The 13,592-nt window shown below is 44.7% G+C and overlaps 1 protein-coding gene across 56 annotated transcripts in view, besides 3 other annotated features; it reads left to right on the forward strand.

Annotated features, from left to right (window-relative positions):
* NFASC (neurofascin) overlaps nucleotides 1–13,592 on the forward strand; it is a 194,171-nt gene that overhangs the window by 85,614 nt on the left and 94,965 nt on the right. For 49 of the 56 annotated variants that reach the window (NR_165492.1, XM_011509316.2, NM_001378329.1 and 46 more), the window contains one exon: nucleotides 6,367–6,475. The exons of 6 other annotated variants lie outside the window; for them this stretch is intronic. Coding sequence is in view for 38 of the 50 variants with exons in the window: in XM_011509316.2 (XP_011507618.2) it covers nucleotides 6,367–6,475 (109 nt within the window). In the remaining 12 variants the exon portion in view is untranslated. Of the gene's footprint in view, nucleotides 1–1,804; nucleotides 1,993–6,366; nucleotides 6,476–13,592 lie in introns of those variants that run through there. One more of the 56 variants, XM_047449950.1, reaches the window with a different exon arrangement.
* Nucleotides 7,792–8,492: an enhancer, noted in NCBI's record as "H3K27ac hESC enhancer chr1:204891185-204891885 (GRCh37/hg19 assembly coordinates)". NCBI's record gives its function as "activates a minimal SCP1, AML or CMV promoter by ChIP-STARR-seq in naive H9 embryonic stem cells {active_cell/tissue: H9 hESC(naive)}" and the evidence as "EXISTENCE:reporter gene assay evidence [ECO:0000049][PMID:30033119]".
* Nucleotides 9,193–9,893: an enhancer, noted in NCBI's record as "OCT4-NANOG-H3K27ac-H3K4me1 hESC enhancer chr1:204892586-204893286 (GRCh37/hg19 assembly coordinates)". NCBI's record gives its function as "activates a minimal SCP1, AML or CMV promoter by ChIP-STARR-seq in naive H9 embryonic stem cells {active_cell/tissue: H9 hESC(naive)}" and the evidence as "EXISTENCE:reporter gene assay evidence [ECO:0000049][PMID:30033119]".
* Nucleotides 9,894–10,593: an enhancer, noted in NCBI's record as "OCT4-NANOG-H3K27ac-H3K4me1 hESC enhancer chr1:204893287-204893986 (GRCh37/hg19 assembly coordinates)". NCBI's record gives its function as "activates a minimal SCP1, AML or CMV promoter by ChIP-STARR-seq in primed H9 embryonic stem cells {active_cell/tissue: H9 hESC(primed)}" and the evidence as "EXISTENCE:reporter gene assay evidence [ECO:0000049][PMID:30033119]".

Consider the following 13,592-nt stretch of genomic DNA (forward strand, 5'->3'; position numbering starts at 1 on the left):
CCATAATCCCCATATGTAGTGGGAGGGACCTGGTGGAGGTAATTGAATCATGGGGGCAGTTTCCTCCATGCTATGCTCATAATGGTAAGTTCTCACAAGATCTGATGGTTTTTTAAGGGGCTTCTCCCTTCACTCAGCTCTCATTCTTGTCTCTCCTGCCACCATGTGAAGAAGGACATGTTTGCTTGCTTCCTTTCCACCATGATTGTAAGTTTTCAAGGCCTCCCCAGCCATGCTGAACTGTGAGACAGCTAAACCTCTTTCCTTTAGAAATTACCCAGTCTTGGGCAGTTCTTTATGGCAGTGTGAGAATGGACTAATACAGTAAAACGAAAATACTCAATCTTACTTATAGTAAGAGAACCACAAAGGAGATGCCAATTTCTGTGTATCACATTGTCAGAGATCAAAAAGATTAATAACACAACATATTGGAGAAGGAATGGGAAACAGGAACTCTCATACATTGCTGGTGGTAGTATAAATTGTCACTACATTCATGGAGAGCAACTTGGCTGCATTATCTTTGGATAAATTACTATCCAATAATTTATTTGAATAACAGTCTTGCAAATATAAGAATCACATTTACCCAAAGATATGTATTGTAGCAATTTTCTATATGAAATGATTACAAGCAACCTAAATGTCTATCAGTAGAGGATTAAGTAAATAAATTATGATCTGTTTATACAATGGAATACCATGGAACTGTTAAAATAACAAGGCACGCTGGGCGCGGTGGCTCTTTTGTCTGTAATCCCAGCACTTTGGGAGGCCGAGACAGGTGGATCACGAGGTCAGGAGATCGAGACCATCCTTGCTAACATGGTGAAACCCCGTCTCTACTAAAAATACAAAAAAATTAGCCGGGCGTGGTGGTGGGTGCCTGTAGTCCCAGCTACTCGGGAGGCTGAGGCAGGAGAATGGGTGTGAACCCAGGAGGCAGAGCTTGCAGTGAGCCAAGATAGCACCACTGCACTCCAGCCTGGACAACAGAGCAAGACTCTGTCTCAAAAAAATAAAAATAAAAATAATAATAACAAGGCAGTTTTATATGAATGAATATAGAAAGATATCTAAGATATTTGTTAATGGCAAAAAGCAAGGTAGGGGAAAATATGTATAGTATGCTAGAATTTTTAAAAATACATGTATATGTATATGTGTTTACATAGACTCTCTGGGAGGGTATACAACAAACTAGTAACTGGTTGGCCAGGGACAGGGTATGAGTGGAGCTTGGGAAGCTGTGCGACAGGTTTGAGAGGACGATGTTCTAGGCTCATCTCAAAAGTATACTGTATATAGTTTTGTATCATTTGAGTTTCATATCACGTGAAGGGATTAACTATTCAAAAAGTAAGTAAAATAATTTTTTAAATGTTTAAGTAAGAATCCTGAGAGACAGAGACAGAATGATCTTTTTGCCCTGAGCACAGTCTAAATATTCAAGGGGTAGAGGCACATGAACCACGAGTCAGGAGAATTTTGATTGTGTGCTTCTTTAGAAATACGCCCTTATGGAATTAGGGAATTCCAAGATGAGAAAGTGTAAGAGATCCCGGGACCAGCTTATACTTTGTGGCAGAGGGAAGGACAGTCTGAGAATAAACGTTTGCTAAGGAATGATCTGTAAAGAATCCCCAGACAGTCATTAAGATATGAATGCTGAAAGAAAGAAGTGTTGGAGCTGGTTAGCAACCCCAGACACTCCCTGTCATCAGTCCGACATGCTGCGTCCTGCCTTTGTTGCTGGGGAGTGTCTTCCACACCTACTCTCCTTGCTTCCAGCCCAGACCTCATTCAGAGGAACGAATGAGGTGTCTGCAGCGTGGCTGCTTCATCTGACCTTCTGGAATCTAGGGACAGCAACCAAGTGCCTAGCAAACTGACCATGGTCTCCTCCTTGCTGTGACCCAGAGCTGCTCTTCTTGCAAATTGGAAGATATCAGGTGCCTTGTTGGTCTCTAGTCCTCCCTGGAGTATCAGGTATCCTTCCTGGAACCTTCCTATGCCTGAGTCAGAGGGACAGTCTATTTCCTGGATTCTAAGTTTCACTTTTAACTAACCCTAAAGTCCTATGACTGGTGATAAAAGCACTGGTGGTAATTGTGATTTCATTCATCTTTAAGGATTATCTGTCTGTCTATATATCTGTCCATCTATCCTCAAATCACAGCCCTCATTTGATCTCTACAGCAATCCTATAGGTAGATCTGATCTCTCATTTTTAAATGGCAGTAAAATATTTGTACGAAGATTTTGTTTTCCAAGTACTTTCCTCTGTGTTATCTCATTGCTGTCCCCTGACACTCTCATCTAGGTGAGGAAGGATTTATTAACCCAGATATATCAATGAGGGTATTGGAGAGTCAACTGTGTGGAATAGTGGGCCTTTGAGATAAGAACATGTGGGTTTGACTCACATGGATTCTTTTTTGTTTTTTTTGTTTGTTTGTTTTTTGTTTTTTTATTTTTATTTTTTGTAGAGACAAGGTTTTGCCATGTTGCCCAGGCTGGTCTCGAACCGCTGGGCTCAAGCCATCCACCTGTCTCAGCCTTCCAGGGTGCTGGGATTACAGGCGTGAGTCACTGTGTCCAGCATCACATGGATTCTTTACACCTATTTCCTCAGGTGTAAAATGGGGATAATAATATCTATATCAGGCTGGGCACGGTGGCACATGCCTATAATCCCAGTACTTTGGGAGCCAAGGTGGGAGAATTGCTTGAGTTCAAGAGTTCAAGTCCAACCTGGGCAACATAGTGAGACCTCATCTCTACAAAAAATAAACAAAATTAGCCAAGCGTGGTGACACATACCTATGGGCCCAGCTACTTGGGAGGCTGAAGTGGGAGGATCACTTAAGTCCAGGAGGTCAAGGCTGCAGTGAGCTGTGATCGTGCCACTCTACTCCAGCCTGAGTGTCAGAGCAAGGCCTCATCTCCTAAATAATAATAATATCTACATCATGTCATACTGGATTACTGTTAGGATTAAATGTCTATAATGTCTATCATTCAGAAGAATTTCAAGAATTAATATTCCAGTGATTTCCTGTTTCTTGACCTGTTCTATCACTTAAAATATTTTTTTACTTTGAAAATGTTTTATGGAAGAGGAGAGAATAATATAATGAAACTTATGTATCCATCATCCTTGTCAATAATTATCAATATAAGGCCAATCTTGTTTCACCTATGCCCCTACCCACTTCCCCCTTTCTTTTGTTAAACAGTTTTCAAAGTAGTGAGGCATTTCCCTGACATCCTTCAGATGTGACTAATGGCTTATTTAGGATTATTTTAAAATATTATTAGGAATTCATAGATTTAAACACATTTGTTATGTTTCTCCCTGTTGCAGTTATTATCTTTATTGATGCTCAGCTTGACCAGGGAAACCTTATTCTTCTTGGTCTCTGAGTCCTTTTGACATGACTCTACTAGTCTTTGACACGACTCTACTGGTCTTTGACACTCTGTTTGCTTTTTTGGTATGACAGTATGTTTAGGCTTATCTTGTATGTTTGCTGCATCAAATTTGGAGTCAGTCATTTCTCCAAGGAGGCCCAATTCCTTCTTCGGGAATGGTATTTAGAATTCATAATCTGATTGCTAGAGGTGCTCATTCTGACTAGGATGGTCATTGTTTCTAGGCCTTACAGTGAACAGAGCTAGGAAATGTGCATGCACAGGTGTGTGTGATTAACCTAAAACATATGAAGGACATACTGATACTCCCAGTTCACAGCCAAGACTACAGAATTTTTACGCAATCTCATTAATCTTACTTTTGTGTCTCCTTTCAACCAGTAAATCTTGTTTCCAAGCAAGATCAACAGTATTACTCATTTGATTTATTCCCAATGAACATATAAAATCTCACAATAATAATATTATAGTACCATCAATAATATGGTTATTGAAAACAGTTTAGGATTTCTTGTGGGGCATAAGGTAGTTCTTTTTATCTTTGTGGTACATCTATCTAAGGCTAGCTTGTCCAGCCCACAGGCCACATGCAGTCCAGGATGGCTTTAAATGCAGCTCAACACAAATTCATAAACTTTCTCAAAACATGGATTTTTTTGCAATTTATTTTACCTCCTTTTAGTGTTAGTGTATTCTATGTGTGGCCCAAGACAATTCTTCTTCTTGCAGTGTGGCACAGGGAAGCCAAAAGATTGGACACCCCTGATAAGGATATGCAGTCAAATTACAATTGTTTTAATCTATGTGTAGTATGCCAACCAACTGGGCTCAAAGGTTCATTTGTTTCATTTTATCTTCATTTTTACATAATTCTTTGAAACTTTTTTTTTTTTTTTTTTTGAGATAGGGTCTTGCCCTGTCACCCAGGCTGGAGTGCAGTGGCATGATCTCAGCTCACTGTAACCCCTGCCTCCCAGGTTCAAGCGATTCTCATGCCTCAGCCTCCCGAGCAGCTGGGATTACAGGTGCCCACCATGACGCCCGGCTAATTTTTGTATTTTTAGTAGAGACAGGGTTTCACCATGTTGGTCAGGCTGGTCTCGAACTCCTGACCTCAAGTGATCTGCCAACCTTGGCCTCCCAAAGTGCTGGGATTATAGGCATGAGCCACTGTGCCCACCCTCTTTGAAATTTTTTAATTATGTTTTGTAATTATGTCAAATATTTACATAGTCCAAAGCAAATCCATGTAACAAGGTCTGTTCAAAGTCCAACTTCTGTCTGTCCCCTGCACTTCTTGTCTCCCTCTCCTTGTAGGGTTTTTTGTTTGTTTGTTTTTGAGACAGAGTCTTGCTCTGTCACCCAGGCTAGAGTGCAATGGCATGATCTTGGTTCACTGCAACCTCTGCCTCCCCAATTCAAGTGATTTTCATGCCTCAGCCTCCCAAGTAGCTGGGATTACAGGTGTAAGCCACAACGCCTGGCTAATTTTTTGCATTTTAGTGGAGATGGGGTTTCACTATGTTGCCCAGGGTAGTCTCAAACTCCTGAGCTCAGGCAATCTGCCTGCCTCAGCCTCCCAAAGTGCTAGGATTACAGGCGTGAGCCACCGCACCTGGCCCCTGTAGGTCTTTTAAAATGTATTTTATGCTTCATCATTTTATTGTCTTTTTTAAAAATACAAGCAAATGCATATATATTTTTGCATTCCTCCTCTCTTTCCTAAATAAATGGTAGCATATTAAACATTATTTTCTATCATGTGTTTTTCACTTAACAAGAACCTTGGAGATTGTAGGTATATAGGATATATTTTAAATAGATTCCTGGAATTGGGATTGTTGGGTCAAAGAGTAAATGCATACTTATTTAGATAGCTATTGCCACATTCCCCTCTACAAGAGTGGATTATACCATTTCCTGCAGACACTTTTTTTGGGGGGCAGATGGAGTCTTGCTCTGTTGCCCAGGCTGGAGTGCAGTTGCGCAATCTTGGCTCACTATAACCTCTGCCTCCCGGGTTCAAGCCATTCTCCTGCCTCAGCCTCCCGACTAGCTGGGACTACAGGTGTGCCCGGCTAATTTTTGTATTTTTAGTAGACACAGGGTTTCACCATGTTGGCCATGCTGATCTCAAACTCCTGACCTTAAGTGATCCACCCTCCTTGGCCTCCCAAAGTGCTGGGATTACAGGTGTGACCCAACATGCCCAGCCTCCTGCAGACACATTCTAATGTTATAACAAATGACTAAATGGAATATGTTATTGCTACCAAGAAAGGTTATATGATTGTTCAGAACTGGTCTTGAACCCTGCTAACTAATGATCTGATCCTGTCTATCATGCCTTCTCCCCATGTTACAGATTAAGAAATTGAGTCACACATAGAGAAGTGTCCTACTCTAAATGACATAACAAGCTAGGATTTAAAATTTGCATCTCCTGACCCTAAAATTGGGTCCCCTTTTAATGTGTTATGGATTTATTTATGGTGAGCTTGGTTTGTTTATCTGTAGACAGAGAAGAAAAACATAGTTCTCCTAGGAAGCTAAAAAATTAATGAGATGATTATGGGTAAATTCTCCCCTGGTGGAGGAGAGATTCTTCGAGGTATGGCTGAACTTCTTGTGGTGAATAGGGAATCAGCAATTAGACTGTGGTGTCAGGGCACTAAGAAATGATCTTACAGATAAGAGAGACAATCACCCTTGCAGGATCTGTCCTTTTTTTTTTTTTTTTTTTTCTTCCAGAGTGCTTTGAACTTCTTTGAACAAAGATGCTGTTATGCTATGCAAAACTTTACCAATGGATGTGGACAAAAATGTAATTTCCCCAGTGAATGAGCAAGCTGCAAACCACAAAGGCTTTTTTTTTTCTTCCTTTCTTAGAGTAACCCTGGGGTTCTCCTTTGTGCTTGCTTGAGACAGGTTGATTGACTTATGTGCAATTTGGGACGCTGGAGTTTACCTTCCCTCCGCAGCCTGGAACAGAGCCTCCTCTGGTGTTGCAAGGAAGAGGCTGAATGAGGCAGAGAAGGTAAGCAGGACTTGGGCCTGGGGTATGTGTCATTGGAGGGGTGAGAATGAGGGGACATTCTCGCCTCCTGCCCCTTCTCTTTGATAAGGGAAGCCTGTTTGCCTGGCCCCAGGAATCTTCTGAGAGGCATCTCCTTTCTTCTCCCCAGAGATAGAAGCCCTGAGTTGCCACAGAACTGCATGCCAAAGTTCTCCTTGCAAGGAGGCTGGTGAGGGTAGCGTTTAAGCCTTCCCTGGCAGGGACAGTCAGCCAACATTAGCGCTGGCATTGTCCCAATGTCCACCTAATTGAAAAATTGGGAAACAACTTTGTGACCCACACCCTACTTAGTCTCGGCCTCTACAACCTGGATGCTCCTGAGTGACAGCCCTGGCATATGGGAGACAGTCCAAGAACCCCTGCCCTGGGCGGGGCATTGGGCCCTGGCAGATGGACAGTTATCCAGGCGCAGTAAGCAGCCAAGGCCCACAGCACTTAGCCATGCCCTGTGCCCAGGGTCTGCCTTGTTCCATTCCGGGTTAGATTTTGCTGCCACTCCCAGCAACTCCTGTTTTACTCTCAGGCCCTGGTAGCCGGGGAGGACATGTGACAACTGAGGGCTGCAATTTTAACAGAGCAGTAACGGGCAGTAGTGACAGACTGGCCTCCTGGAGGCTGCTGGGCTGAGAGGGTCTGGGCTGGAGGCCTGAGCAGGGCAAAATTTCCTTATTCTTTGAGTTTGGGCATCTCTACCTCATCGAAGGTGTCTTTCTCACTCCACCTCACTCTCTTGTTGTCTTTTTTCCTCCCAGAAAGAGTTGGAGCTGGGGGGAGGGGCGTGGAGAGGGTTGAAAAGTGGAAGCTGAGAGTGCCGACGACATGGACTTGGGATCCAGACACATCTGCTGGAATTCCAGATCCACTTGCTTTGTGACCTTGGGAACGCTGAACCCCTCTAGGCCTCAGTTTCCTAGTTTGTACAACAGGGATAATAACCAACATTTTGTGGTAAAGATTAAAGAGTAAATATATAAACAGATGAAGAGCCCTGCAGAGTGCCTGGCTCATTTAATCAATGAGGGTTATTATGATTTCTCATATCAATGGCAATTCAGATATAGTTTTTTTTTTTATCAAGGTAGTTTCTTGTGTGGGCCCTTTAGGGCCACCACTTATCTCAGAACAGTGTCAGGTTTCAGAGACCACCTGGGAAATTCCTCTGACCTTAGGGCTTTTTCACCCTGTCATTGTTACTAAACATTGAACTTGAACATACTGACTGACAGTGTGTGTTTTGGCAGGGGTGGCGCGGGCAGGGGGTGCATGCCATTCTTTTACTACACGTGGAGGAGTATGATTGCAAAAGCGGTGTACCCATTTATTTAAACGGGTACGAAGTATATATGAAACTGGATGGGGACAGAATCGGGTAGTTAATGCAGCTCTGTGTCACCAAGTCCCCGCTCTTGGCACTTTCCCATGCACCCTTCCCACTCTCTATCCCTGTCCCTCCACAGCTCTCTCTGAACATTCACTCTAGGTAACCTGACCAGATCCCCACCTAAGGAACCCCGGGGGCTGGCTTCTCTGATGACAGCAGCCTCACTGTCCGACAGCAGATATGGCTGCCCTGGAGTCGTGCCCTGCCACCTCCTGCCTGACCAGAATAGATTCGTTCTGGCTCGTACTTCTGGACACCACCAGTCTAACCAGCAAAATCGAATATCGGTTCTGAGCTTAATCCTTTTAATAGTGTTTCCATTTACATTAATTGTGTCATTTGACTGTCAACACAATTCAGTGATATGAGCAAGGCTGCTGTCATCATTCCCATTTGATTGGTGAATAAACTAAGGCTCTCTGAGAAGTTATTTCCCCCAAGGTTTCGCAAAACTAATTAGCAAAAGAGCCCCTCCTAGGCTTGGATGCGCTGAATTGTAGACTGTTTTTCTCGCTGTGATATCACACTGCCTCCTCCAGTCTGAGGCACCCACAAATCATGAAGGGGGAGTACCTATCAAAGGACTTTCAGACACACAGAGGAACCTTAAAAAAGACATAAGACTGCAGAGACTGCTTGCCAGCAGGACATACGGCTGTTGAGCGTACAGTAAGTTCTGAGAGAAGGGAAGCTGACCCAGGCTTCTTTAGATGATGATAATCGTCATCATTATAATAATCAGCATCTCAGCACTCCCCGTGCACCAGGCACTGTGCCCTGCGCTCCATCCTCCCACAGTGGCCCCATGAAGTAGGGCCCATTATTACCCGTGTTTTACTGATGGCAGAATAAAAGTCCACAGAGGTTAAGGAACTTGCCCAAAGCCCCCCATCTAAGAAAGGGCCTGGATTCAAATCCTGTGGTCCAACTCTGGCACCTGTGTGGCAACCATTTGGGTTTGGGGCTGGCTGTGTATTTAGGGTGGCTCATTCCAAGATTCACTGGAAACACTGCGTAGCTGTTTCTGAGCAAGTGTTCCCCGGGGCTGCAGGTGTGAGCTCTGAAACCGCCTAAGGAGGAAGCCCTCCGTTTATCTGCGTCTTCTCCCTTTGTTGGAAGCCACTGCCATATGGAGCTGCCCCAAGCGTCTGCTCCTGAGCCGCCCCTCCCTCCTCCTCCCACTCCAGCATGCAGCACCCTCCAAGCTCAGGCTTCGTCTCTCCCCTTCCCTCCCGCCATCCCCAGTACGTCCACTCCTTGTCACCTCCCATCACGGGAAGCAGACACTGGCCCTCTGATGCAAGGCAGAGAAACCACTGAGCTTCCCCAGGCCTTCAATTTCCCAAAAGGATCTATTTGATTAATTGCACTCACACTCCTAAGTCCCTCTGCCTGTCAGAGAGAAGCTGGGCCTCCTCTCTCCAGAAACATTGACACAGGCCCCCTTGGACAGCATGGGCCCAGGACACACAACTGTGGATCACTGAGGGTGGGACCATGGAGCTTCATTAGGAACTGTCTTCCCCACCTGCTGCCCCCAAACCGATTTCAGGCCCCTGAGGCAGGCACCTGAGGCAGCCCCCATGCTTAGCCCCATTTTCCTGTGGGCACCGAGACCTGTAGGGTAAGTGTGGGGTACATGAGTGTCAACGGTGAAAGCTACTGCCCTAATAGCTTGTGCTGTTTACCTCCTTTCTGCTGCAGTGATGCAATCATGTCTAGACCCCTCTCAGCCTTTCCTGCTGCCTCGCCAAGCCCACCTTTCCACCAGAGGCTGGGCTGTTTGAAACAGCATGTCACCTGTGAGTTTCTAATAAGAGGACCATATGCTCTAGCAAAGGGAGGCCCTTCTAGGGCATAAGACAGCAAGGTTTCCTCCACACCACTGGAGCTAAGAGTCTTTGGTATAAGCACTTGCAGCCGCCAGCGCTTTGCAACCAGACTTCTAGACAAATGGTGCATCTTATAACTCAGGAAAATCCTCATTCTGTTGGCTGCCTCCCCCTTTTTGCTCCCACCTCCCCTCCCCCATGCCTCCTGTATTTTCACATCTCCTCCAGCCTGTAGAAGCCTGCCAGGATAGCAGTTGGATCCAGACTGATGTCTGTATGGGATGTAAATGCAGAAGGCTGCAGGGAGGGAGAGAAGGAACAGGTGCTGCTCCCTCCTGCTGTCTTAGTTCTTTCCTCTCTATGCTCCCGCTTATCACATCAGACAGGAATTTAAAAAATGCAACCGGGGATGTGCTGTCCTTGAAATATCAGCAGCTAAACCAATATTGGCAGCTGAATTGATGTCAATTCAGAAGACCCAGCTCCCTCTCTGGGGCTGACTCCAGCTGTTTGGTGGATGTCAGAGCTGGTGGGACATTGGTGGAAGAAGCTGGGGTGGAGTGCTTTGCTTGTAGAAACCATGGCAAAGGCAGGAGAGAGGGGAGCCCAGAGGGGATTTGGCTGGCCTGGGATTTTATAGGAGCCTCCCTTCCTCTCTGGTCTAAAGTAGACTGCCTGTGCAGATAACCATCTGTTGGCTCTAAGAGTAAACAATAATTCCTTAGGTATAGAGCTAGGGTATGGTGTCTGCACAGGCATCGTCTACACTGTAGATCTACAAAGTAGATGTGAAACCCCATCTTGTCCAAAGCCTTATCGCAAATCAGTATACCAGCTGTAACTTGGGGGAGAGGAGAAAGGGCCAATCGTTTATTTTGTTTGCTTTGTTTTGTTTTGTTTTGAGATGGAGTTTTGCTCTGTCACCTAGGCTGGAGTGCAGTGGTGCAATCTGGGCTCACTGCAATCTTCACCTCCCAGGTTCAAGTGATTCTCCGGCCTCAGCCTCTCGTGTAGCTGGGATTACAGGTGCCCGCCACATGGCTGGCTAATTTTTGTATTTTTAATAGAGACAGGGTTTCACTGTGTTGGCCAGGCTGGTCTTGAACTCCTGAACCTCATGATCCACCTGCCTCAGCCTCCCAAAGTGCTGGGATTACAGGCGAAGAAAGGACCAATAGTTTTTGAATGCCAGCTATGTGCCAGGCCTTGGATTAGGTGCTATACATGTACATTAGCTCATTAATTCATTTAGGAATTGTCACAGCAACCTTGTAATAAATAAGTGCATTTATCCCACTTTTAAACATAAGAAAACAGAGAGAGAGAATAAACCGCGGAAGACCATGTAGCAGGTAAATGGCTAGGTGGGAGGGAAACTCAGGTGTGTGTGGCTGCAAGTCACATGTGCCAGCTGGATTAAACATGCTTCCTTGTGAGACTAAATCTCTGCATCTTGTCTGGTATGTTTCCCCTGGTCTGCATGGCTTCCCAGCTAGTGGTTTGTCATTCACCAGTTTATTAAGCCCAGCCCTGTTCTGCTTTGAGTTAATACTCACTTCTGTGAAGGGCCAAAGAAAAAGTAAAAGGCTCTTCCTTTGCCCTCAAGAAGCTCATAATCTGGCTAAGAGACTGAAAGTCATCTCTCTTTTCCCCAACCCAAGTTTCTTCTGCTACAGTCTTGCCCCTCTTTCTTTCCCTGCTCAAGCTCAGCCTATGGTTTTCAAATGGCTTTAGGACTATGGTCTGTTGAAACTAGGCTTGCAATCCACCCAATAGAGGACAGAATAAGCAGCTTGATTTGAGTGATGTCATGAGCAGATGTGTCCAGATGGTGGGTCCTCAGATGGACAATGGTCTGGATTTCAAATGGACAGCCCACTTAGGGAGCTTGGCAGGGCCCAGGGTGAGGAAGCTGGGGTTGGAGATAAGGATGGCTGGTGGAGTCGCACAGATATCTCTTGGGAAAGCTGCTCAGGGAGGGAGAGGTTTCTGGCCATTCTAGAGCCACCTTCCTTTTGTACAGCATTTTATAATTTACTGTGGAGATAGAGACCAGACAGTTTGTGACTTGCTCAAGGTGACATACAAGATCTTAGCCCTAGGTCTTTTTTTTTTTTAATTAACCAATCTTCAATGTATTAAAATTACAAATCCCCAAACCTAATTATTCCTTAAACTTTTTACCTCAATCAACAAATTTTACAATTTTCTTCATGAATCTTATAGATTTTAGCAATCACTTACTTGGTTTTATTAATAAACTTAGTTAATTTAATTCCTTTGAACATTTGAAACTGTATGTGTAAATTTATCCATTTTCCTTTTCAAAGTATCACAGTTTTTTTTCTAACAAAGGCTTCCAAGTCCTTATGTAATTCTTTTTTCATGTATATATATATATATATATATATATATTTTTTTTTTTTTTTTTTTTTTTTTTTGAGAGAGGGTCTCACTGTTGTTCAGGCTGGAGTGCAGTGGCACAATCTCAGCCCATTGCAGCCTCAACTTCCTGGGCTCAAGTGATCCTCCCGTCTCAGCCTCTTGAGTAGCTGGGACCACAGTTGCGCGCCACCATGCCCGGCTAATTTTTGTGTTTTTTATAGAGATGAAGTTTTGCCATGTTGCCCAGGCTGGTCTTGAACTCCTAGACTTGAACAATCCACCCACCTCCACCTCCTAAAGTGCTGGGATTACAGGCGTGAGCCACAGTGCCTTGCCTTATTACTATTTTTAAATGACAGCTTTATTGAGATACAATTCATGTTATAATATTTACTATATAAATTATAGAATTCAGGCTGGGCACAGTGGCTCACACCTGTAATCCCAGCACTTTGGGAGGCTGAGGCGGGTGGATCACTTGAGGTCAGGTGTTCGAGACCAGCCTGGTCAACATGGTGAAACCCCGTCTCTACTAAAAATATAAAAATTAGCTGGTGCACGGCAGCGGGTGCCTGTATTCCCAGCTACTCGGGAGACTGAGGCAGGAGAATCGCTTGAACCCTGGAGGCAGAGGTTGCAGTGAGCCGAGATGGCGCCACTGCACTCTGGCCTGGATGACAGAGGGAGACTCCATCTCAAAAATAGATAGATGATAGATAGATAGATGGATGGATGATACAATTCAGTGATTTTTAGTGCCCATAGACTTGAGCAGCCATCATCACAATGGATTTTAGGACATTTTTATCGCCACTCCCAGCCCCCGCAAGAATCTATGCCATTGTTAGTCACTCCTCTTCCCCACCTCCACCCCCAGCCCTAGGCAACCACTGATCTATTTTCTAGAGATTTGCCTATTCTGGACATTTCATATAAATGGAATCATACAATATGCGGTCTTTGTGTCTGGCTTCTTTTCCTTAGCAAGATGTTTTGAGAGTTCCCCACATCAGTAATTCATTTCTTTTTATGGCTGAATGATATTCCTCTGTGTAGATATACTGCATTTTGCTTATTCATCTGATGGAATTACTGGGTCATACTGTAGGTCTGTGTTTGACCTTTTGAAGATCCCTAGACCTTTTAATGCTAATTCCAAGGCCCCTTTCTGGACTTCTACCTTCAGCTCCTGAAGTATTTTTATACTCTACAAAAGTATACTCTATAAAAAATACTCTCTACCACCTGGGTCCCTCCTCCTTAGCCTTCCCAAATCTTGGGTCCCCACCCTTAGGGACCTGTCACACAAGATTATCACTCCCCACCTCACCATCCCCCTCCCTCTGACCACTCTTCTTTAATGACAGAGCCCCTGGAGACAGCTGCTGCCTGACACCTTGATACCCCACGCCTTCTCCACCCACTTGGAGCCGGGAGGGGGTGGGGTAACTTCACAAGCCTCTCCCTCCAGCTGTGAAGA

The sequence above is a fragment of the Homo sapiens genome, chromosome 1 (assembly GCF_000001405.40).
Source record: "Homo sapiens chromosome 1, GRCh38.p14 Primary Assembly".
In the NCBI taxonomy this organism is placed as follows: domain Eukaryota; kingdom Metazoa; phylum Chordata; class Mammalia; order Primates; family Hominidae; genus Homo; species Homo sapiens.